The following is a 25,234-nucleotide window of genomic DNA, read 5'->3' as shown; positions in this document are numbered from 1 at the left end:
TCGCCTGCGGCTCCAGCTCCCCGGGGGCCCCGACGCACCTTCAGGAAAACCCGACGCTGGGCAGCTCGCGGGCGCCGGCTGTTTTCCTGCGAGACCCAGGCGGTCGGCGGCGACTTCCGGCGCCCTCGGCCGCAGCCCAGGATCCCTTGCGCCCTGCGGTAGCCCGGGGCTGCCCAGGGCTGCGGGCTCCAGGCACCCAGAGCGCTGCGACCACATGAAAGGCCCGGCGCTCAGCACCCGCCAGCCACCTCCAGCTGGTTTCTAACTACACCGCCGGGGCCTCCATGCTTCTCAGAGACCAGCCTTCGAAGTGCCGCCTTACACCCGGGGCCTGGCCACCGGGCGGGCGCGGATGGAGCTCTGGTCCACATTTGGGAGCTCACAGTTGTTCCTGCCAGGTAGGTGTTACAGACAGATGAGCAGACTGAGGGTCAGGGAGGACAAACAAATTCACCAGGATCCTGCTGTTGGTAAGTGGCAGAATTTAGAGTGACAGGCAAGTCCCACTTTTGCCACTATATCAAGGCCTGGCCAGAGTTGGCCATTCCATGAGGGCCCAAGCTGTAAGCTATGGCCAGTCCTCTTAACTTGGCACTTTTTAGGAGAATGTCGAGGCCGCAGAAGCAACAGCAGCTCAGAACTTGCAAGCCAAGCGCCGGGTGCCCTCCCCTTACCAGTAGGGGCAGCTGAGCCCCCAGGCTCTGCCACTGTAATCTCAAATGGTGGCTTGGAGTCCGCCTGCAATTACTCAGCAGGCAACTGGCTTCCCTCACCCCACCCCAAACTGAGAAGCCTCAACTGTCAGCGGATCTGACTTCAAATCCAAACCATTAGGGAGGAGAAAAGCAAGAAACCTTTCTGTTCAAGTAACCCAGCTTCAGAACACATACCCCCTAACGTGCAGTAATGAATAGATTCTGTCTGTAGCCTCCGCAGTTTTAGCCAGCAAATTTAAGTGGGATGGAGACACATGTCAAGATTTTTTTGCGCGTTCAAAGTATGGAAAAATAGCAAGAGGTTTGGGAATGCTCATTGATTGGTTAGTTCTACATGAAATGACAATGGTGTTACTGGTGTGTTCTCCACCAGCCTTAAAAGCAATCACTATTCTAAAATTGTCAAATCCTCTAACAACCCCATGAGGTGGATACTACTGTTGGCCACTATTTACAGATGAGGATTAAGGGACTTGCTCAACATCACACAGCTATAAGTGCTAGAGCTGGGACTTGAACCCAGGTGTCAGTACCAATGCTCCTGCTCTTATTCTCATTGCGGTCCAATTGTCAATACATTGTCAACCCCGGGAAATTCATTCAAAAGAAATGTGCCTGTTAACCCAAGTGATTGTGCTGTGAACATGAAGAGCTGAAGGGCTAGCTAGAACATAGAATCCGGTCTGCAGTCAGGACCTAGCACTGCTGTCTGCCCACAGATCTTCAAGTTCTTAAAAGTCTGTTGAGGAGCAGTTAGAAAAAAGATGGTACAATCCTTGCCTCTGCCCACTCACCTCTGAGGGTGGCAGGAAAAGGAGAGCCTGTGTTTAAAGGATTCTGGCTTCTCCTGCCAGCTCCCTGAACCCAATCTAAAGCAGCCCAGATCCCAGCCTCACCCTACCTTCTCTAAGGTCTGGACCCCAAGAAGGACATCATGGTGAAGATCAGCATCAGTCAGTCAGGATCTTAAATCTCAGATGTGGGCAGGAAGGCACATGCATCCTCCCAGCCAAAAGAGGTGACCTACCAAAAATCACTTCTCATCTTCCCCAGCCTTAGAACTGCCTCTGAATGAGAGGAACCACATTTTACTGAACGCATCTTCAGACCATAGCTTTATGCTAAGCATTTTACAGCATTTATCACACTTAACTCTTTCCAGAATTCTACAAAGCATTCTTGTACCCATTTTCCAGATGAGGAAAATGAAGCCCAGAAAAATTGAATGTCTTGTCTGAGATCACCCAGGGACAGAGCCTGGATTTGAACTTAGGTCAAGCCCACTACAAAGAGTACACATGCTTAACCACCACACTGTAACCTTCCCACTTGGGACTGTTCCAACCCAGCAAACAAGTCCCTTTAGAGAAACCCAACTCTCTGCCTAAGACAGCTCTTAGAACTACCTTAAAGAAGTTCCTTTTGGCAAGAAGATAGAAAGCCTCGATGGGATTGGGGTCGTCTGATTTCCAAGGCCCCTTCAGAGGATCAAAAAGTGGTGCCAGAAACCTTCACAGTTTCAGTCTTGTGTTTCCCTGCCTGGCTCGAAACTGCTCAGCAAAGAGAATGAGAAAAACTATTTTCCCAGGGAAACACTCACCTCTAGCTTGAGACTGGGGCTTGCCTTGACACGCCAAAGTAAGATCGTCAGCCCATTCATTTACCCTTACAAATTGCTCTGTGAATCCCGGTGCCGGCCTCCCCGCTCTTCCCCCTCCAGGAAACCCCATCCAGCCTCCACGCTCTGAGAGCGGCAGGTATCCACCGATGTTTACTCACTCAAGTTCATTCGACATCTTCCTGCTCCCAAGCTCCGACGATCAGCACTGAGGCTCTGCTGACCGCTTGTCTCTAATTCTTGCCTGACACAGACATTCTCTGCCCGGGAAAGTGTTTGATTTATGTTGAGGTTTGGGTGTCGAGATTTTGCTGACAGGTAGGTTCCCAGCAGCGCTGGCGCTGATTGGCTACAGGTACAGGTGCCGGCGACTGGAGGTATACCTCAACAGGTGCAGCTGTTAACTCTTAGCCCGCCGAGGAGGGCGGAGCTATGGGGGACTGGCTGGGTGGAGCTGGCCAATTCCTTCCTTGGTGAGGGGGTGGGGGGTGGAGATGAGGGAGGAGGGATGGAGAAGAAAATGTTGGAAAGAAGCAAGATAACTAGAGGAAAAGTACAGGGACAAACAGATAACTTGGCTTAAAGGAAAACTTGATTCCTGTTTCTAGTCATTGTCCCAGATACCCAGAAACATCCCCACCCCCAAATTTCTTTGCCCCCTCCTTCTGTACCACTGGGGAATTCTCAAAGGAGAGAGCAACTTTTCCCAGGTAGATCTTTGTATAAGTTCCCTTTTTTTCAGTTTCCCCTTTAAGGTAATATTTTTGAATAATCTTTTGCAGTTACTCAAGTGACTTCTTTTGGTTCTTAAAGTAACCTACCGTGGTAGATTTATTATCGCTTCCCCCTTCCTCTTCAACACATATTTTACAGATGAGGGAGGAAATGGAGGCCAGAGAGGCAAAGTGCCTTGCCCAAGGGCACAGCTAGCGAGGTCCCAGCCCAGATCCAATCTGCAGTCATCTCACTCCAAGTCTGGCTGCCCCTTGGGCTGAAGTCAGTGGCCTCAATTCAGTAGACATTCATTGAGCACCCGTTGTGTGCCAGACCCTACTCTGGGTTCTGGAGAAACTGAGGCCAGAAAAAACAGGGGTTACTGTTCTAAAGGAGTTTACAATCTGGGGGGTGTGTGTTGGTGGCAGGGGGTGGGGGAGTAAAGGAGAACAGGCTTTTATTGGGTGTGAAGGGGGTGTGGGCAAGCCACATACCTCTGGTCAGCACAGAAGGGATAGAAAAGTTGAAGGCTCCTCTGAAGCCTCAGCCAGCTGGTCATTTCACAGGCTCCAAGTGCTTCGTTCTGTATTGGGAACTTGGGAGAAATTCAATGCCTGTCAGATGAAGTAATTGTGGAGTAATTGCTGTGAGCTGTCTACTATAAAGAACAAGCTTGGTAAACCCCAGAATATCCACAAACACAAACAGGAGAATGTAAGAGCTTTTTAAAGAGCTTCTTCCAGGATTAGTTTGAAATTAAATCTAAGCCAGAGATCTTGGCATCTTTTTTTCCCTCTCTCTCTTTCTATTCTCCCCTCCCCCACCCTTCCCCTTTTGGCAAATTATCTCTTTGCTGTGTCTTCCTGGAAACCTCAACTTGGCCCACTCCTCTCTCTCTTCTCTGGGAACGGCAAGTGAGGTTTCAGCTACCCCTGCCAATTTATGGAGGTTTTTCAGGGTAAAGTCAGAATTCAAAGGAGCCCTCTTGGGGTGGGGTCAGGGCTCTGGAGAGGGGGTACTGGGTTTGAGAACTCTCAGAGATTGGTTTCTCCCTGGAGGCTGTGTTGGGGGAAGCCCAGGGGACCCTAATAAATAATAGTAAATAATTGCTAATAAAGCCACCTCCTCAGAGCAGCCCTCTTCAGTCACCCTTGTTAATAAAGTAGACATTCAATCACTCTGGATCACACTACTTTTTGTTCTCTGCAGAGCCCTTATGACTTATGATACAATGTAATATGACCTATGATATTTTTCTAATCGTTTATTGTCTTTCTCCCCTTCCTCTGGAATGTAAATTCCATAAGAGCAAAGACTTTGTGTCGCTCACTGTGGAATCTCCAGTGTCTGGCACCTAGTAGGTGCTTCATATACCACAGGCACCGGGCATTGTGCGCCTTTGCATACATTGTGTCGCCTAATCCTTACAGCAACCCTGGGAGATAGACATTTTTGATACCCCCATTTTATAGATGAGGAAACTGAGGTACAGAATACTGAAGTAAACTACTCAAGCTGCAGAGCTAGGCAGTGGTAGAGCTAGAGCTGGGATTTAATCCGAGAGCAGAGCCTGGGTGCCCAACCACTTCACAGAGCTTATTGGTGGCTGAAGGGCTATTTGGTGCCAACTGTAACTGCAAAGCTTATTGCAGTCCAAAGGATGGCACACTCCTCTGTATGTACCTGTCTGCCCACCTCATGGAAGGCTGTGGAGTTTCTGTCAACCGTGTTGCAACCCACAGGTGAAGGGCTGTGGGGTGACTCATGCTGACTGGGCTCAGGGGAGGCTGGGATTCCAGGTGGCGTGTCTGTGCTCGCTGGGGTTTTAAAAATGGGTCCTCTCCCTCTGCCTCTAGGTTTTGCCTCTTTCATCACCCGCACCCATCTTCAGAGATCAGCAGAGACCCAAATCACAGGGCAGAGGGTTTCTACGTCTCCACACACAGGAAGGCTACAGAAGTGTCCCGGATGGGATAGAAGGACCGGTGGTCTGGGCTAGGTAGGCAGGAACGCCATGAGCCAGTTTGCAAGGTCACCAGGCCCCTCAGTAGGAATTATACCTCCCAGGCAGGAGGTACAAGTGCTTTCTAGGCCTTCATCCCAACAACCCAGAGATGCCAGGCCTTTAAAGAGACACTCCCCGTGCTTTGCTGCTGCCCCCTTCCTGCTCCTGTGGGGCTGAGCAAGGCTGGCACCTACTTCCCCTTCATGGATCAGCACAGCTCTTGGTTCCTCTGCAGAGGAGATTTAAAACAGAACAGCTATTCCAAAAAAAAAAAAAAAAAACAAAGTTTAAAAAAACATAAACAGAGACCAGCCAATTACTTGTAACATAATAATTATATCCACAATAATGACAGTAAATAATGAGGGCTGCTGTTTAGTTAGCGTTTGTATTTTGCAAGCACTGTGCTAAGACTTACCTATGTGTTAGGATAGTATTGTTCTGAGACTCACAGGCCTCCTTTCAAATCTCAGCCCAACTAGCTACATGATGTCGGGCAAGTGGCTACAGCTCTTTGAGCCTCAGTTTCCTCACCTGTAAAGTGTATATAAAAATTGTATTCCTCCCTTATGGGGTTATTGTGAGGATTAAAAGATAATGCGTGTGAAGTGCATTATCTGTACCTGGCATCTAGCACTCAATACTTGTTAGAAAAGCCTTTTTTTCCCCCCTTAATTCTCATTTAAATCTAATGAGGAAGATATTAACCTTATTTCACAAGTGAAGAAACAGACTCGGAGGTTAAATGATTTGTTGGAAGTCAAAAGTTAGCTGGGTGCGGTGGCTCATGCCAATAATACCAGCACTTTGGGAGGCCAAGGCAGGCAGATCACTTGAGATCAGGAGTTCGAGACCAGCCTGGCCAACACGGTGAAACCCCGTCTCTACTAAAAAAACAAAAATTAGCTGGGCATGGTGGCATACACCTGTAATCCCAACTACTTGGGAGGCTGAGGCAGGAGGATTGCTTGAACCTGGGAGGCGGAGGTTGCAGTGAACCAAGATCGCGCCACTGCACTCAGCCTGTGCAAACAGATAATGTCAACAACAACAACAACAAAACAAAAGCTAATAAGTTAAAGAATTGAGATTTGAACCCACATCTTTCTGATTCCATTCTTGCAGGACTGGACTAAGTTAGGGAGTGCCCTGCGCTCAAGTTCTGCCTGACCTCTGGCTACTTATTGTGTGACTGAGTAAATTCTCTCCTCTCAGAGTCTCAATTTCCCTCTATAAGAACAGATTAGTGAATCACTATAAGGGGGGAGTTCCCTATTAAAATCATCTTGATTTGCTTTTCTAGATTACTGATGTTCTTTCTCCAGACGTTCTGATCTGCCCTCTTGGAGGACTGCACAGTCCTTCATCCCTCCCCTCCTTTCCACGATCATGCCTGTGCAGAAGCCACTGTTCCCAAAGAGTATGACACTTCTCCTTGGCATGTTGGGGAGGAGTAAAAGTTAGGGCCACTGTAAGTGAGCACTGAGAGCCAGGGCTCCTCTGTGTGTCTGTGAAAGTTGTGTACTGAACAATGACGGCACCATTTACCAGACGGGACATGCGCTGCTGAACATGAGGACCTTGCTGACAGCCGTCCTTTTCTAACACTTGAATGCTTTCTAATTATCCAGAACTCTTAATGCAAATCTGTTGACCTATATTCAAATATTGAAAGAATATATACCCACATGTCAACAGTGCTTCTCTGTGGGCACTGAAATACCAGGATTTCAATCTTTTCTCCGTCTTCCCCCAAACGGGCTACATTGAACTTGCACTGCTTTTGTAATTAGAAATTCTATACAAAGCCCCAGTTTAAATGTCATTAAACCAAAATAATTTCCCATTGACAAATGGCCATTGTGTCCCTATCCTTCCTGGGACAAGGGCAGGGATGAAGAGAGTGAAGACTGAGTCCTTGCCCAGTGATCCCCTGGGAGGCACAGGAATGGAGACGGGGGGGCTGTCTGGCTTGCAGGGGGGCTGTCTGGCTTGCAGGCTCTCAGCAGCGAGCTCAGCTATCTGATCTCATTTTGATTTTGCAATTAAAATTACTATCATTTATTGAGCACTTAACGCCATAATGCTAGCTGTAGATGCTCTATCCCATTCCTACCTGTAAAATGGGGTCACATGGTTGGCCAAGTTACTAAAGAACGTCAGCTTTGAGGGTGACTGCCTGAGGCCTTGGACAAGCAACTTCACTTCCTTCTGCCTCAGTTTGTCCTCAGTGAAATGATTGCTATGAGGATTAGATAACAGTGTCCATAGTATGTGTCAGGCACTGTTCTAGTGCTTGATTTTATATATATATAAATATATAAATATATAAATATATATATAAATAATATATAAATAAATAAATAAATAAATATATATATATATATAAAATCATGTAATTCAAGAGGCCTGTGAAGTAGCCGCCATAAGTATCCCTGTTTTATACAGAAGATGGTAACAGTCCCAGAGAGGTGATATAACATCTAAGGTCACCTGGCTCTCCCCTTAGTGACAGAGATGAAATCAAACTGAAGTTGGCCTGATCCCAAAGTTGTGGAAATAGTCCTTTCAAGCTTCCTAGTCCCTGTCTGGAACAAGGTCTAGGAGGGATAGATAGAAGGGAGATGGGAGGGAGGGAGGGAAGAAAAGTAGATAGGTTGGTTGATAGTATCTGCAAGGCAGATAGGATTTGTAAATTTCTGGAGGGCAGAAACCATACAAGGAAAAATAAATCTCACATAGCACTTGTCCTGTGTCTCAACATAATAGGTATTCAATAAATGTTTGTTGAATAAATGAAAAACGGATGAATGAACATAATTTCACACATTACTGACATTCTGGGCAAATTAGGTATTGCCTTCTACCCCCCACCCCACCCACCACCACCCAAGGGAAGACCTCCGAAGTTTGAATTCCTCTCCTCCCTCTTATTTTCATGCACCAGTGCCTTCTCTTTGCACCCATGACTTCAGGTCTGTATGTAATTTCCCATCATGCTTCAGTGGGGTCAGCCTGGGGATTAAATTAAATGAGATATTGACGTAAAACCTATGGCAAATAGGTACCCAATAAAAGGTAGCTGGTGTTATAGGGAGCACCCAGCTTAAAAAAAAGGCCTCAGCCACTTCCCATTTCCAGCCCCAGTGCACAGCTAAGTTCACAGCATTCAGCCCTCAACCTCCCCTCAATACAGCCTCTGCTAGATGTAGAGCTCTTTTCAAAGTGTTTTCCTGTGCTTCATCTCCCCTGATCCATACAGCCATCCCAGGAGGAAGGGACAAGAGTGCATGGTTGGCCCCATTTGTTAGACTGAGGTTCAGAGAGAATGCCCCTGGTTAAGTGAAGAACTTTGGATTGACCCTTGACTTTCAGACAAAGCATCACCCTAGATACCATTATGGGTCCTAAGGGGTCACAGAAGTGCTGTCCTGGGCACTCACTCAAAACTCATTAAAATATTCTGTAGCATTTCATTTGAACATTTAACATTTAAAGTAAAAGCTTCATTATAATGTTCTTAAGCAGAGGGGTAGGCCACACACCCTACATAGAGAATATGCCCCCCCACCTTTTTTTTTTTTTTTTTTTTTTTGAGACAGAGTTTCGCTCTTGTTGCCCAGGCTGGAGTGCAATGGCACGATCTTGGCTCACCACAACCTCCGCCTCCCAGGTTCAAGCGATTCTCCTGCCTCAGCCTCCCTAGTAGCTGGGATTACAGGCATGTGCCACCACGTCCAACTAATTTTGTATTTTTAGTAGAGATGGGGTTTCTCCATGTTGGTCAGGCTGGTCTCAAACTCCCGACCTCAGGTGATCCGCCCGCCTCGGCCTCCCAAAGTGCTGGGATTACAGGCATGAGCCACCGCGCCCGGCCATGAGAATATGGCCCTTCTTTGAAGGCATGGATGGACCTGGAAGTTGTGCCTGCAGAGCAGCAGGACATGGAACGGGCAGCTCTCAGGCCCTTTTACATTCTGTACTTTAGATGGTTATCACAGTTCTTCCAGTAAGACCACCTACATTCCTTCCTGGAGCTTCCTTGGACATGAGGAATCATGGAGTCTAAAGTCACCCTGAAAGCTCTTCTTAGAAATAAGTCTCCGAAAGCAAACAAGCAGTTGTTTTTGTTTTGTTTTTTTTCATTTATCCAGTTGATAAAGATGAAAGAAAATGCTAATCACAGTATTGGCAAGGGAAAACAAGCATGCTCCTTGCTGGGAGGAGAGTGAGCCAGTCTAAGCTTTGGCTTTCCAGTTTAGCTCATCCTTTGATCTAGCAATTTCACTCATAGGAATTTTGCCTAAGCAAATAATCTTTGTGTGCAAAGAGTTACCTACAAGGATGTGCATCAGAGCATTGTTTATAATCCTGAAAAATTAGAATTAATAAAAATACCCTTCACAAGAGATTCAGTGAAGTAAATTAAGATACCTGAATGTAGCTGCATGCCCCGCTACAGTTTAAAAGGATGCTACGGAGGCTTCCTGTGTACCATGGAAGTTATTTACTGTGCTTTCAGTACAGTTGTTAGCAATTATGTGTTTTTATGATTGTTCCAGGCATTAGGCTCAGTGTTTGACCTCGTATTATTCTCACAACCACCTTATGATGTGAGTACTATTATCTTTATTTTGCAAATGAGGAAAGTGAGGCGCAGAAGTGAAACTTACTAAGGTTATTTTCAGGGAGTTTCTGAGCTAAGTCTTGAATCTGGGTCTGATTCCCTACTTTTAAGTCTTCCATTTACTCTACTTTTAGTAAATTAGTCCATTCCTATTTTAAAAATCCATTTATATGAATAGAGAAAACAATAATTCACCCCAGGGAGTATTATGGATATTGGGGTCAGTGGTGATTTATGCTTTATTTTTGTTTCTGTGGACATTATTTCTTCTGTTAATAGGAAAAAGAAACTTTATTTAAAAGTAACAAATCAGAGAAGGCTTATCCTCTGCTCAGGCAGAGAAGGAAGAAGCAGCCAGTGTGCTGTCTTGAGATTCTTTCTCTGTTGCCAGGAACCAGCCAGAACAGGAGGCAGCCAGGGAGAGGGGAGCCAGGGAGAACACAGCCTCAGTCCTGGAAGGAGAGGGCCTGCTGGGAAGAACAGAACCCAGCTGTCTTGGCCCCAGGTGAGCCCTCACCTGTGCCTCAGGCCCCAGCAGCCCAACCACTATTGCTGAGTCTGTCTTAAAAGAGGCCATTAAACAAGACACTGCCCACTTCCAAATAAAAGACAGCATCGCAGAGAAAAACATATTTATCCCCACTACCCCCACGGCAAACACTGGAAACATATTTCCTCCTCTGTGCAGGGGTCAAACTGGGGCCTGGAGGGTTAAGATAGGGATTTCCTTGAAATGCTACAGAGGAAAATTGGCCAAGGTCTGGCTTGGACAGAGGGTCTTGGTGCCCCAGTGCTGAATGGAATGAGTAGGTGGCCAGGGTCAGTGCTACCTTCCTAGGTTAGGGTGGGGTGGGGTGAGGTGGGGCAGGACAGGGCGGGACCTGCTCTGCTTAGAGAGGTTCAGATAGGCACAACTAACCCATAAGGTCCTAACCCGTCCTGTTTCTTAGGAGTGTTCCTTCAAAGGCTGCCATTGGTGTTTATTTAGATCTGATCTCACTGGAGAGGGTGGGGAGAGGGAGGGTTTTGCTGAGGCCTTTCTGGGCCCTGTATCCCCACTAGGAAGGCAGAGGCCATGTGGTCAGAGGTTAAGTGCTCAACCTTGGGCCTTGAACATTCAGGTGAGGGGTTTTCTGAATCCACCGCTGGCCTGCTAGGGAATTTTTCAAGGCCATCAGTTTGGGGCCTTATGGTCCAGCAGTGGAGAAGAGGAAGGACTTAGAAACTGTGGCCTGCAGGGGCCTAAGAACCATATCTTACGCCACGATCAGGCCCCTCTGGCTCTTCTCTCAGGAAGGTAACCGCTCAGAAGTCACCATCAATCTCCCCACTCCTCACTTGCCCCTGCTTACCCTTTCAGCCAGTGCTCCGGACAGGCTGCCACATTGACTAGGCACATGCGTTATTCATTTATCCATTCATTCAGTGAGTATGGAGAGTTATTTAATCATCACCAATTATAATAGCAGCTCTCATTTTTTGAGCACTTAACTCTCTGTTCGGGTCTGTACACTTTACCTGTCCTGTTTCACTCAGTCCTTACAAGTGCCCACCTCTATTTTATAGATGTGGAAGCTGAGACTTAAAGAAGCTATGAAACTTGATCAGGTCATGCAGCGCCAGAGGACCCAAGGTGGGATCTCAACCCAGACTGTTTGGCTCCAAAGCTGAACTGCTACATTACGTTGCTTCAGCAAACAGTCATTCAGGTAACTTGGTGAGGACGTGCTCAGTTCAAGTAACTATGCCACAGTCTGGGGAGAGAAATGAATAAGGTATATTCCTGTACACAAGCCCACTGGGGAAACCTTGATGAAACCCTTCTACTCGAAAACCTTTCCTCTGCTTGCAACTAGATGTTTGGAAACATTGTTTTGTTGTCAAATTTCACAAAATATCTTGTGTTGGAGGAGTCTGTTAGACTTCTCTAATTTCACCCTTCAGGTGATGCAGAAGTCTCTACTGCCGACTACCTGCCCTCACACACACATACACAGAAGGTGGAGCACATCTAGCTTGGATTTTAGAGCCAGTCTACGTGAGTCTGTATCCTGGCTCAACCATTCACTACTTGTGTGACCTTGGGCAAGTCCTTTGAGCTCTCTGAGTCTCAGTTTCTTCATCTGTAAAATAGGCATAATTTCACCGTTGTGAGGTTTTTGCAAATAAGGTAACACACTGCAAAACATTCAGCACCACTCTGGTGTATAGTTAAGACCTGATAAGTGTCAGCCATTGTCTTTTATCATTAGGGATGGGCATCTCTTGCCACCCCAGTGAAACAGTTCCTTGTCCTGTCTCTTTCTTTGCTTCTGCCTCCCGGGGCACTCAGCCCAAGGCAAATGTGCCTGAAGATGGGGGTTAGTCATCAGGTTCCCCTGCCTCAGAGGATGAGAGCATGACTGCTGCTCTCTGCCCAGTCTCCTAAGAAATCTGATTCATGCCTTGCCAGTACTCTATGAATATGCATACTTCACCTGCAGCCCTGTCTCCTTTCACAATGAGCTCAGTCATTTGTACCTCCTGGGTCATGTGCAGACATCCTCAGTATTACCCACTGATGGGTGTTGGAGAAACTGCTAAGAAGATGAGTCTTGATAGGCAGGTGACAGTGACTTGACTCTCTAGTCCATGGCTTTGCCTGTTTCGCCATATTTCAAAACTGCCAGGGGCTTCTGAATTGACTGATGACCCAACATAGGGTCACAGTATTTCATTTGGCTGCTCTTAGACTGAAGTGACAACTTGGGATAGCCCCATCTGAATGGGACCAGTTTGGGAGCCTTTTGTTTCACCCTCTTTCTCTCTCCAGTCTTTGTGGGTTCCCTGAAACGTGTGAGGTGGTTTGGGGATGTTGAAAGTTAAGCCCCTCAAAGAGAAGACTTATGCCTTAGATTAGTGTTAGTGATTACAAGCTCCGGGTTTTGAGACTGATCTGGGTTTGAAACCTGGCTCAGCTTTTTGTTAGCTGTGACCCTAAGCTTCATAACTTGTTTCTCTGAGTCTGTTTCCTTATCTATAAATGGGATTAATAATAGTATTTATTTCATAGGATGGTCGTAAGGATTAAATGCATGTAAAGCACTTAATATAGTGCCTGGCACAAAGTAAGTGCCCCATAGCTGTTACCAATATTAGGCAGCAGGAGAGACAGCACAGGACCAAGGGGCAAGAGATCAAGGTTTGAGTTCCAGCTCTGCTGCTTGCTGGCTGTGTGACCTCAGGCAAGTCATCTTCCTTCCCTGAGCCAGTTTCTCCAACTGTGAAATGAATGGTTTGAGTTTGAAGGTCACTCAGGTTCTTTCCAACTGTCTGAGATCTGTGACTTTGAAGGTGACAAAAAAAGAAAACACAGGAAAAAATAATTAGTAGCAGATGCCTTTATCAGCCAAGATAACATTTCATAAACCCCCGGGCCTCGACACCATCTTCAAAAGCCACCCCATCCCGCAGCTTCTAGGCAGAACCTTCTTGACCAGATAGGGTGAATGAACTGTTTGCAAGACTTTCTGGAGCCACAAGGAGGCCTCAGGGAAGGTGTAAGGCTAAAAAGCGAAGCCTGCATCACAAAGGGAGCAGGCCTGAGAAAACCAGCTAACCCCAAACATCAGACCTGGGGGATTCTGCCTTTTGGTGCCTTGGGCGAGAATCATCCTCCACTTGACCAGAATGGATTAGTTTATGGTAAGGGAGGGATGTTGTCTCTAGAGCCTGGGGATGTCCTGATCTGTTGTAAAACAGGCCCCACCTGGGAAATAGAACATTTTCTTTTTTGGGGCCTAGTGACCTCTGACACCCCCACCCCCTTCTTCCTGGCCCACTGTGCAGTCTGAGTCACACCCAGCAGGAGACCAATGCTGGGAATGGAGGAGGCATTCAGCATCCCCCTTACCCACAAGAGTCTCCACCGAGTTATTCTTAAGCCCTGCTTGAACCCTGAGGGGGATGACATGGGCAGGATTTACAGAAAATAAAAAAACAATCAGTTTCAACTCGTTCTACCAGTTTTTGCCCCTTACAGTACAAAGTCTCTTAACCAATCTTAATGTAACAAATTTCCCTTTACAGAGACAATGGGCTTTAGAGGAGTTTAGTGATGTTACTAACAAACATAAGTACCTTGTACTAACCTCCTGGTGCCCAAGTGTTTGAGGTGAGAAAAACTGAAACATGAAAAGCCCAGAGAGGTAAAGTGACTGGCTCAAGGTAAGTGGTGGAGTTGGTATTTGAACCCAGATCCCCTGTTACTTCAGAACCTCAGCTACCGCTGTGACTTTGGGTGCAAACCTGTCTGAAGCCTGTTGGTGAAGCTCTGCCCAGCTATGAAGAGGCACAGATCTGCCTGCCTCCCTTGGAAGGCTCAGACTCTTTTTCTGGAAGGCCTACCTTCTCATCCTTTGGCAGTTGGGGGAACTGAAGCACAGTGAGGGAGATAAGCGTGCCATACAATGAGAGGACAGAGCTCAGCGCTCTTCACTCATGTGCCTGTGGGAAAGAGCCAGTTCTAGGGGTGGGGATCGCGAAGGAGCACCCTACTTCCCTGTCCTTGTCACGTCCCATGGCCAGTAGCCATGTACTTTTTCCTCCTTTTTCTCTTGCCCAGCAAATACAGGCTCCAGCTGCAGCCACTTTGAAGATAAAGTTTCCTCCATAGAAATTCTGCAATACAGATGTCCTTCCGCGGTCCCAGTTCAGTCCTGCACCAGTTCCTTTTCCCACTGGGAAATTTCTTTCCTCTTCCTACTTCCATGCAACTGCGAGGCAAGGCTCAAGCCCACTTCCTTCTCCTTTTCCTGTGCCTCCCTGTGGAGGGAGCTCCCTCTTCTTCACAGCTCCAGGCTCTTCCCTACTCTGGCCCAACCTTATGGGCATTTTGCTCCATAACTCTCCTCGATCTGAACTGCTTCTGATTTCTCTCAAGTCATGTCGGGGAATCTCACAAATGCATTCTGAGAAATACAAGAATGCCTGAGATGTTCCCGGCAGAAAAGATTCCAGGATCAAAACATTTGGGAAAAGCTTCACATCTCTCCTTAGAAATGAACAAGGCATAGTCATCAAGCATCTGAAAAGTCCTGCAGTCAGGAAACCTACCTTGTTTGTTTTTTAACCCAGTATTTCTCAAACTAAGATGGCCATGATTTCATCTCCTCCATCCCCACTGACTCCTATAACAACCTGTAGAACCAGTGATCCACTGTGGAACACACTTTGGGAAACACTGTCCCCAGCCCTCCAAGAAGGCATAGAGTTGACCTTGCCTTCATTGATTTAAACCCTTCCTGTTTCTCTGGGCTATTTACTTATTATCTCACATACAAAATAATCTAAGGTGATGTCTGCCCAATTGGGTTTTTAGGAAAGACATACCCAATGGGAATGAAGATTTTCTTAGCAGGATTTGATGAGCCCATTACTAGAAAAAAAATCAAGGATTTCCCAGACTTTCAGGGTGAGGAGAGAATTTGATACAAGCAGCAGAGGCTGGGCGTAGTGACCCATGCCTAGCACTTTGGTAGGCCAAGGAGGGAGGATTGCTTGAACCCAGGAATCCAAGACCAGCCTGGGCAACATAGTAAGATCCCATCTCAATTTTTTAAAGAAGGATTTATCAAACTTGTTTCCTAGTCAACGGATAAAGCCAGAGAGGTAATGGCCAGAAACCCAAAATCTAGAGAGTACCAGATAAATACTTTTTGGGTGAATGAATGAATGAGCAGGCTATTGATCACAAAGTTGGCAGACATTGTGAATGAATGGATGAATTAATAAACAATCAAATAACTGGTCTCCAGGCCTCCAGACTTTCTGAACTTCATTGTATCTACCTGCTGTGGCCACATATATATCTCCTCAAAACCCAGATCTCATCAGTCCACTCTTCTGTTCCCTGGCTGGCTCCCTGTTGCCTTCAGGATAAAGTCTACATGCCTTTGTCCTGGCATTGAAAACTCTGCAAAACAAAGCTCCAACCTAGCTTTCCATCCTTCTTTCTCTTCCCCATTGGGTACCCCTTACTCTAGTCACACCAGTCCCCAATTCACTTTATCCGTCTCCTTTTCTTTCTCAAGCTATTCTCTATACCTCACCTTTTCTCCCCTGCCTCCATTGTTGCTTATTCAACCCTAGCAGTGCTTTCAGGCTCAGCTCAAACCTTATCACCCATGTTAAATGAAAGAAGCCAGACACAAGAAGGGGACATTCTGAATGATTCCATTTATATGAAGGTTAAGAACAGGCAAAACTATTGTGGGGAAAAAACAGAACTGTGGTTGCCTTTGGGGAGTGAGGATTGATTAGAAGGGGTTTTGGGGGTATGAAAATGTTCTTGATCTTCATTCCAGTGGTAATTTCATGGGTGAATACATTTGCCAAAATTCACTGAATTGTACACTAAAGATCTGCATTTCTCTGTATTGTCAATTTAATCTAAAAATAAAAATCTTACCACCCAGATCTCCCTGGCAAGAATTCACTGCTTTGTCCATTATTCTCTCAATGCACTTTGTCTATACTGGCAGCATTTCACTTAACATAGACTGCCTTCTTTGAGAATAATTTACGTATATGTCTGTTTGCCTTCGCTACCACATAAGAGCTTGCCTCTAGGGCCTTCACACAGACACTCAACAAACGTTTGTGAGATTGAGTTAAGGCCCAAAACCAACAAACAATGGCAGCTATCATGTATTAAGCACGTACTATGTGCCAGGCTGCATGCTAAGTTCTTTACACACATATTTAATTTTATAATATAAAATATGTAATGTATGTATACATACATACATATATACATATATATATATATATATATATATCTCCCATGAGCTCAGATCTATCTCATGAGCTACTCTGTATCTGAAAAGAGGAAAATATGCATAACAAATGTGAATGGTATAGCTCGATTACATTAAAATACAGGCAAAATAAGTGTGTTTCCAAACTTTATGGTTACTGTGTGATTAAGGACATGTATGTTGAATTTTCAGTCTCTATTTTACATTGATAATACTGAGGCCCAAGATACAACAACATACAGTGCTAGAAATAGGATACAAACCCAGGACAGGCACATCTCAAAGCCATCAAGCTTGAGTACCTCCAAAGTGGCATCACATAAATCTAGGAGAAACAAAACAAAACAAAAGAAACCTCGTGAGATCTTTCTGGCCAAGAGACTTGAAAACAGCAAGTCCTGAAATTGAAAATGTGTGTGAAGTGCGTATATGAAGCACGCCCTGAGAAGAGGCTCTCTGGGGGCTCTGCAGGGCTCCAGGTGGGTGGTTAGCAAGAGGAGGACTTGGGTTTATAATCCTAACTGCTCCATTTAGCAGCAGTATAACCTTGGACAGTTATTTAGCCTCACTCAGCCTGACTGCTCTCCCACTTGCAAAATCGGTGTAATGACAGTGCCCACCTCATGGGGTTTCAAGGGAAGATTCAATGAAATAATGCATATAAACCCCCCAGCATGTGTAAGTACTCAGGAAACATTTGTTGTAGTTTATTAACATTTTGCTGCTTTTACTATGATTACAACCACCTGTATCCCTCCTCCTTGTCCTCCCCTACACCTCCACACCCCCCACAACAGTATTTGGCCTTCTCCCCACCCCTTCCTTTCCTCAGATGGTAGAAGCCCAGCAGGTAGTTCTCTAACAGCAGTCGTGATGGACAGTTTCATAATGAACAGCTATCACAATAGCCAGTCAGCCCTGTGAGTACAAAAAGGGGTTAATTCCTTGGTGGGTAGTGACTCTAGGGATCCCTAGCTAATTTGGAGGGAAAAAAAATCTTTGTTTTTAAATAATCTTTGCCACCTGCTTTGGGCTTGTCCTTGCCTAACTCATTCTGAAATGAGGTGGTGGGAAGGCTTCCAACATGATGAATGGGGCCACTGAGATCGGGGTGCCCACCTTTGAATTGCTAGCGAAAACCAGGCTGTGGAATTCAGGGCTGATGGGAAGATGGGAACCTGCCGGTTGGAAACTCGCCCTTTGGGATTTGGCCTGAGGGGCTGGCTGGGGATGAGGGTCCTCCATTAGAGTTCTGAAGACCAGACATTAGGGTTTCCTGTCCTCCATCTGAAACAACCCTCTGGCAGGTAGAGGACTTGCCAAGGATAAACCCTCTTATATGTCAAGCTTTTCATTTTTGTGATTTGTGAGTTCAACAGGCCAATGTTATTTGAAATAAAATAACTTTTTTTCTTCTAATTACAAAAGCAACCAATGCTCATTGAGAGGAAAAAAAGCAATGAAAATGCAGATAATTATAATGAAGAAAAAATTAAATATTTATAATTCACCATCCCAAGAGAACCACCATTATTCTCCCATATGATTTTCTTTGCCTACAGGAAAGCAATTACATCCGAGTTAACTGTACAGGCTCTCAGAGCCAAACTTCAATCCCAGCTAGAACATGTGGGCTAGTCCCTTACACTCTCAGAGCCTCAACTTTCTCAACTGTAAAATGAGAATAAAAAGAGCACCTATAAGGCTGGGTCCACACCGGTGGTCTCAGCTACTTGAGAGGCTGAGGCGGGAGAAACACTTGATCCTAGGAGTTCAAGGGTGTAGTGCGCTATGGTCACACCTCCAAACAGCCACTGCACTCCAGCCTGGGCAACAGTGAGACCTGTCTCTAAAAAAATAATTATTTTTATTTATTTTTTTGAGATGGAGTCTCCCTCTTGTTGCCCAGGCTGCAGTGCAGTGGCGTGATCTCAGCTCACTGCAACCTCTGCCTCCTGGTTTCAAGTGAGTCTCCTGCCTCAGCCTCCCAAGTAGCTGAGATTACAAGCGCCCGCCACTACGCCCGGCTAATTTTTGTATTTTAGTAGAGACGGGGTTTCACCATGTTGGTCAGGCTGGTCTCAAACTCCTGATCTCAGGTGATCAGCCCACCTCAGCCTTCCAAAGTGCTGGGATTACAGGCGTGAGCCACCGCGCCTGGCTATTTATTTATTTTTTTGGAGACGGAGTCTCACTCTGTCACTTAGGCTGGAGTGCAGTGGTGCAATCTCGGCTCACTGCAGCCTCCGCCTCCCAGGTTCAAGCAATTATCCTGCCTCAGCCTCCCGAGTAGCTGGATTACAGGCACCGACCGCCACACCGGCTAATTTTTATATTTGTAGAGAGACGGGGTTTCACCATGTTGGCCAGGCTGGTCTTGAACTCCTGACCTCAGGTGATCCGCCTGCCTTGGCCTCCCCCCAAAAAAATTATTTTAAAGAGTACCTATGATAGTTAAGAGTTTATTAAACAATTTTTTTTAAAAAAGGGTATCTGTTACAGGGTTGAAATAATGCCTAAAAATGACTCTACAAATGTTAGCTCTTACTGTAGAAAATACATATTCTTTTTTGTCTTTTTGAGATGGCGTCTCGCTCCGTCTCCAGGCTGGAGTGCAGTGGCGCAATCTCAGCTCGCTGGAACCTCCGCCTCCTGGGGTCAAGCAATTCTCATGCCTCAGCCTCCTAAGTAGCTGGGATTACAGGCGCCCACCACCACACCCAGCTAATTTTTGGAAAAGACTTGTTCTTACTGAAAAAATGCTGCCACACTATTTGATGGCATTTTTGTATCCTGCCTTTTCTCCCCACTGGGTAACAATGTGAACCCCTGTAGCATTAAATATTCTCTGGTGACCTTGCTGTGGAAGACCCATGTCTAATTTACCAGTCCCCCATTGACGTACAAGGGTGTATCCAGTATTTCATTATCATAAACAACGCTGCACAAACATAATTATGGCTAAACCTTTGTGCCCAGCCATAATTATTTCCTTGGGGCCAATTTCAAGAAGTAGAATTGCAGGGTTATAAGGGTAGGCACAGTTTTATGACTTTTGATAACTGTTATCGAACTGCCCTCTAGAAAGATTGGACCATATTCCTTTCCCACCAGCAGGGAATAAGAGTGACTGTTTCCCTGCACAGTCACCAACACTGAGTTTTATCATTTTTGTCCATTTTAAAACAATTATTCTTGAGCAAGGGAATTTCTTCTATCTGCCTGATTCAACTGAGAACTCCCAGAGGGCAGGGCGGGAAGTAGTTCCTTCATCTCTGCGTATTTCCAGTACATAGTACATGCTCTGCCCACAGTAGACACTCAAGAAATATTTGAGCTGAATCTTAGAAGCAGCCAAGAGTGGTTTTAAAAGCACCCTAGACAGCCAATTCTTATTAAGTGCAACACTTAACAACTAAGAATTGTACCTGGATGAAATTCAGAGAGTATGCACTGAGGAAGGCAAAGACATTTCCAGAAACGCACCCCTGATATTCAGATATTAATCAGCTAAGTGATACTTTCTGAGATTAGCCTGGGTTGGGGCTGCTTATCTGCCAACAGATTTGCATGTGTAACTTGAGATCCACTCCGGTTCCAAATACTTGGGGGAACTCTGAGCCAGAATATCTGGGTTTTGCTCTGTCACCATTTTGGCGGTGGTCCAGAGCTCATCACTTCATCCTGTTGAGTTTGGTTTCCGCATCTATTTAATGTGGAACATACTAGGATTTCCATCAGAAGTATTTTAACAATCATAGAATTCTGCCTTCCTCTCCCTCTAGCATTTATTGAGGACACAGCCTCCTACCTGTACTGAAAGCAGGTCAGCATGGTGGACGAGGAAACAGGTTCTGGAGCTGGACTACTTGGGTCCAAAATCCTCTCTGTCACATTCTCACTATAGGAACTTGGATTTGCTGGGAGGATTAAATAAGCTCATCTGTGCAAAGCAGTTAGGACAGTGTTTGGTAATAGTAAGCACCAAGTGTTGGCAACAGTTACCTTATTTAAACCTTTCAGTAACCCTGTGAAGTCACTATTTATTATTTACTCCATTTTAAAGATAGAGAAACAAGGCACAGAGAAGTTACACAGCTGGTAAGGATAAAGCTAGGCTTTGATCCCACGTCTGTCTGACTCAGGACTGTTTTCAAAACTCTAAAATGTTAAAGCTGGAAAACACCCTATAGATTATCTAATCCAGTCCTCTCATCTGACCCACGAGGAAATCAAGACCCAGAGAGCAGAAAGAACTTGCCCAAGGACACAACAAAACAGTGATGGAGCAGGGCCTGGGCTCCAGTCCCTGCTTCCCAGAGACAATGTAGCCTCTCAAGTTGCTGCCTTTGCTCCCCCGCAAAGGAGAGGAGCACAGGAGCTTGCAGGTACTTGAGCAAAAAGTGCCTTGAGCAACTCCGCAGCCTGGCGCAGGCCAGGTGCCAGGAGAAGGCAGTGTTGTCATTGGCCACTCCAGTTACTCCTTTTGTCCAATTAATCCAGCCCTGAGTGCCCTCCCAGGGGGAAATCTACCAACTCCTGCCTGGACCTGTGCTTTCTGCAGCTCCCCTAAGTGCCAAGGCACAGCGACTCCAAAAGTGGCTGCTCCTCCCAGGCCCTCCCTCGCCCCTCATTCCAAGTCCACCACTGGGTGCAGGGAGTTGAACAAAGAGACCCGGGGAGGAAGGTCCCTGCCCTCCCTCCCCGACAGTCGCACCTCCTCTGCTTTGTTTCTAGGCTTGTTTTTTTCAATGGTATATTTTACTGAACCCCATATATAAAAAATTATTTTGGGCCGGGTGCGGTGGCTCACACCTGTAATCCCAGCACTTTGGGAGGCTGAGGTGGGCGGATCACCTGAGGTCGGGAGTTCGAGACCAGCCTGACCAACATAGAGAAACCCGGTCTCTACTAAAAATGCAAAATTAGCCAGGCATGGTGGCACATGCCTGTAATTCCAGCTACTCGGGAGGCTGAGGCAGGAGAATCGCTTGAACCCGGGAGGCGGAGGTTGTGGTGAGCCGAGATTGCACTGTTGCACTCCAACCTGGGCAACAAGAGCGAAACTCCATCTCAAAAAATCAAACAACAAAAAAAAACCAACAACAACAAAAAAACTTATTTCAAAATGTATTGAATATAAATAAATTATTAATGAGGTATTTTTATTCTTTTTTCTGTAAGTCTGATTTACCTTTCCAACACGTCATTTGAATGCTATATTTTCAAGGGCTAGTAGCCAAAAAAAATGGAAACATCCAAATGTCCATCAGCTGATGAATGAATAAACAAAACGTGGTACATTCATACAATGGAATATTATTCAGCGATAAAAGGAGTAAAGTACATCATGGTTGAACCTCAAAAACATATACTAACTGAAAAGAACCAACACAAAAGACACATACTGAGTGACTGCATCTATATAACATGCCCAGAATAGGCAGATCCATAGAGACAGACAGTGGACTAGTGTTTGCCTGAGGCTAAGGGTTAGGGAGGAATTCAGAGTGACGGTTGATAGGTATAGGTACGGGTTTTATTTGTGGGGGAGGGGTGATAAAATGTTCTGGAATTAGACAGTGGTGATAGTTGCATAACCTTGTGAATATACAAAAACCGCTGAGTTGTAACACTTTAAAATGGTGAATTATTTAAAAAAAAAAAAAAAGCCAGGCGTGGTGGTTCACACTTATTATTGCAACACTTTGGGAGGCTAAGGCAGGAGGATTGCTTGAGCCCAGGAGTTTGAGACCAGCCTGGGCAACACAGTGATGTCTTGTCTTACTAAAAGTTTTTTTAAAAATTAGCCAGGCGTGGTGGCTCACACCTGTGGTCCCAGCTCCTCAGGAGGCTGAGGTGGGAGGATCCCTTGAGCTGGGGAGTTTGAAGCTGCAGTCAGTTGTGATGGTGCCGCTGCATTGCAGCCTGGGTGACAGAGCCAGACCCTGTCTCAATTTAAAAAATGAATAACCAAAAGGTGAATTTTATGGTATGTGAATTACATCTCAGGAAAAAAAATTAACAATAAAATAAATAAAATTAAGATGTAGTCCTACCAAAACAATAGTTATATTTAATAGGAAAATCTTTTACACTGATTCGGTTTCTAAATCTAAATATAAGTTAATTAAGATTATAAAATTAAAAGTTCACTTCCCTCATTAAGGCAGCCACATTTCAAGTCATAATAGCCATGTGGGACCAGAGGCTACCATAAAGGATGTGGTACCTCTGAGAGCTCGCTGCCCCTGGATGCCAAATGAGGTCCTGAGTGGCCATCCTCTACCACTCCCTGGGTAAGTCCTGAAGGAACCAAAAGCAGGCTGATAAGAGGACGCTAGAGTGAACAAATGAAACTATATCATACAGACCCTTTTTCTTTCCACCATAATGCAGAATCACATCAATTACATCATTTCTTTCCAGCAGCAACTCTATCTTATAGGTGAAGAAAGCCATACAATGTCAAAACCAGAAGGAATCTTTGAGACAACCAATCTTTTAAAAGTTTAAAAGTACAATTCACTCTTTATGGCATACAGTTCTATGGATTTTGGCAAAGGTATGGATCTGTGTCCCCTCTACCACGATCAACATACACAATCGTTCCATCACCCTCAGAGGTCTCTCACGCTGCTCAGTTATTGTTTGAAGCTTTCATTCATTTCTTGTCTATCCACTGTTTACTAGGCTCCCGCTCTGCACTGCGATCTTTCTTTTTCTTTCTTTCTCTTTCTTTCTCTTTCTTTTTTTCTTTCTTTCTTTATCTCTTTCTCTCTCTCTTTTTCTTTCTTTCTCTCTCTCTTTCTTTCTTTCCTTCTTTCCTTCCTTCCTTCCTTCCTTCCTTCTTTCTTTCTTTCTTTCCTTTCTTCTTTTCTTTCTTTCTTTTTTTTTGACAGAGTCCCACTCTGTTACCAGGCTGGAGTGCAGTGGCCTCGGCTCACCACAACCTCTGCCTCCCGGGTTCAAGCGATTCTCCTGCCTCAGCCTGGGACTACAGGCACAGGCCACCATGCCCAGCTAATTTTTGTATTTTTAGTAAAGATGGGGTTTCACCATGTTGGCCAGGATGGTCTCCATCTCTTGACCTCATGATCCGCCTGCCTCGGCCTCCCAAAGTGCTGGGATTACAGGCGTGGGCCACCGCACCTGGCCAACTGCAAACTTTCTTAGTCCCCTTAACCACTCTGTGTAGTGGGTATTTGGTTCCCCTTTGCTCAAGGCCACACAGCTCTTAGTGACAGAGCTGAAATGTGAACTCAGATCCACCAACTCTAGTCTTAACTAGGAGTTAACTTAGTAGTTCTTAACTGCTGCTATCCAAGACTCGTTCATTTGCTGACTGCCCACCAGAGGCTGGGTGTTCATTGAAATACTTATTGAGCACCAGCTATGCGCTGCCCTATTCCAGGAACAAACAGGCCATGATCCCTTCTGGACGATGCAGCTTCTGCCCTGGTCCCAGACTGCTGGGGTGCTGGGCTCTCACCTGCCTCACCAGGGGCAAGTTCAGCGGTACAAAAGCACATGGCTGCCCTCTCTTCTTTTTCTTCCTCTTCCTCCTCCTCCTCTTCCTCCTCCTCCTCCTCCTTCTCCTATTCCTCCTCCTTCTCCTCCTCCAGCTGCTCTCCCCTCCTCCTCCTCCTCCTGCTTTCCTTCTCCATGTGCCAAGCCTGACAGCTTTCACCAGGAGAACTGAGAAGCCTCTCCCGAGGTCTGTTAACAGTGAGCTAAGGGCATGTCCCCTCTGTCATCCTTTTCCAAAGGAGAGGAAGATGCCCCACTTGACTAGCCCTCCTCCTCACCCAAGCCTTCCCTTAGGGTGGACATAACCTCCTCCGAAGCAGCAGCAGGGCTGCAGGACCAGGTGCACAGGCGGCGGCTTGGAGGGCCCTTGCACAGACCACTGTGTTTTGCAACCAGGAGCGGAAGGGAGGCTCAGAAAACATCCCCAGGAGCAATGACCCTGGTGGCCTGAGGGCTATTTCTCCCATCACATAAGCAACTACTGTCTGGGGTTTCAAAATCCTTTTTCAGGCTTCATCACTAAAAAGTGTTTTACTCCCAAATGACCTGTTGTCATCCTCCTGATCTTCTAGAGCTTTTTTTTTTTTAAATAAACCCCTCCCCTTGCTCAAGGTGAGGTGATGCCAAGACTGTCTAGGCTTAGCTTCAGGCTTCCAGCTGAGGAAGCTGAAGAGATTCAGTAGCAGAAGCCTCATAAAGAGAGGCTTCCCCCAGGGCCCTGCTTGTTCCTGGCTCCTGCTGAGGAGCAGACATAGACCAGACAGGCTGGGACATAGGGCTGGTTCCATACTCAAAATCCTGGTTGCCTTAACCTGGGTTTAAACAGCACATTTTGATAAACAGCCCCGCTCTGAGAACTGTACAGTGTTGCTAAACCCAGCCTCTCAGGGTAAAGCAAGGCAAGGGGAAAACAAACATTTTATGGCTGTGGAAAGACAGCCACTCCGGCCCCGTGCCCTTCTGTGACAGCTCTCATTACAGGAGAAGCTAGATCTAGAGGGAAAAAAGGGCCACACAGTCAAATACAAATATGGTGAACAATGATTTCTCTTTATTGTTTTGAAACAGAGTCTCGCCCTGTCACTCAGGCTGGAGTGCAGTGGCGCGATCTCATTCACTGCAACCTCCGCCTCTGGGGTTCAAACGACTCTCCTGCCTCAGCCTCCCGAGTAGCTGGGATTACAGGCGCCCACCACCAGGCCCCGGCTAATTTTTGTATATTTAGTA

General features: G+C 46.0%; 1 protein-coding gene and 1 long non-coding RNA gene across 6 annotated transcripts in view, besides 3 other annotated features; one reads left to right on the top strand and one right to left on the bottom strand.

Moving 5' to 3' along the window:
* The window catches only part of GRHL3 (grainyhead like transcription factor 3), a 45,126-nt gene extending 42,419 nt beyond the window's left edge, over nucleotides 1-2,707 (bottom strand). For 3 of the 5 annotated variants that reach the window (NM_198174.3, NM_198173.3, XM_011541870.3), the window contains exon 1: nucleotides 2,496-2,707. In NM_198174.3, the coding sequence (NP_937817.3) occupies nucleotides 2,496-2,512 (17 nt within the window). In that variant the 5' untranslated portion in view covers nucleotides 2,513-2,707. Of the gene's footprint in view, nucleotides 1-2,122; nucleotides 2,285-2,316 lie in introns of those variants that run through there. The other 2 variants (NM_001195010.2, XM_011541869.2) reach the window with 2 other exon arrangements.
* Nucleotides 35-174: a silencer, noted in NCBI's record as "silent region_432". NCBI's record gives its function as "represses an Ori minimal core promoter by ATAC-STARR-seq in GM12878 lymphoblastoid cells {active_cell/tissue: GM12878}" and the evidence as "EXISTENCE:reporter gene assay evidence [ECO:0000049][PMID:35858748]".
* GRHL3-AS1 (GRHL3 antisense RNA 1) lies at nucleotides 73-16,136 on the top strand. The gene is made up of 2 exons (NR_183722.1): nucleotides 73-398; nucleotides 11,247-16,136. It is a non-coding gene; the product is annotated as a GRHL3 antisense RNA 1 (long non-coding RNA).
* Nucleotides 13,071-13,365: a silencer, noted in NCBI's record as "tiled region #347; K562 Repressive non-DNase unmatched - State 12:CtcfO". NCBI's record gives its function as "represses a minimal TATA promoter and a strong SV40 promoter by Sharpr-MPRA in K562 cells {active_cell/tissue: K562}" and the evidence as "EXISTENCE:reporter gene assay evidence [ECO:0000049][PMID:27701403]".
* Nucleotides 23,913-24,160: a silencer, noted in NCBI's record as "fragment chr1:24624394-24624641 (GRCh37/hg19 assembly coordinates)". NCBI's record gives its function as "represses an EF-1alpha promoter that drives an FKBP-Casp9 reporter gene in an ReSE screen in HepG2 liver carcinoma cells {active_cell/tissue: HepG2}" and the evidence as "EXISTENCE:reporter gene assay evidence [ECO:0000049][PMID:32094911]".

This window comes from Homo sapiens, chromosome 1, assembly GCF_000001405.40.
Source record: "Homo sapiens chromosome 1, GRCh38.p14 Primary Assembly".
Classification (NCBI taxonomy): Eukaryota; Metazoa; Chordata; class Mammalia; order Primates; family Hominidae; genus Homo; species Homo sapiens.
Note: the sequence above shows the minus strand (reverse complement) of the source record. Positions and strands in the feature narration are given on the sequence as shown.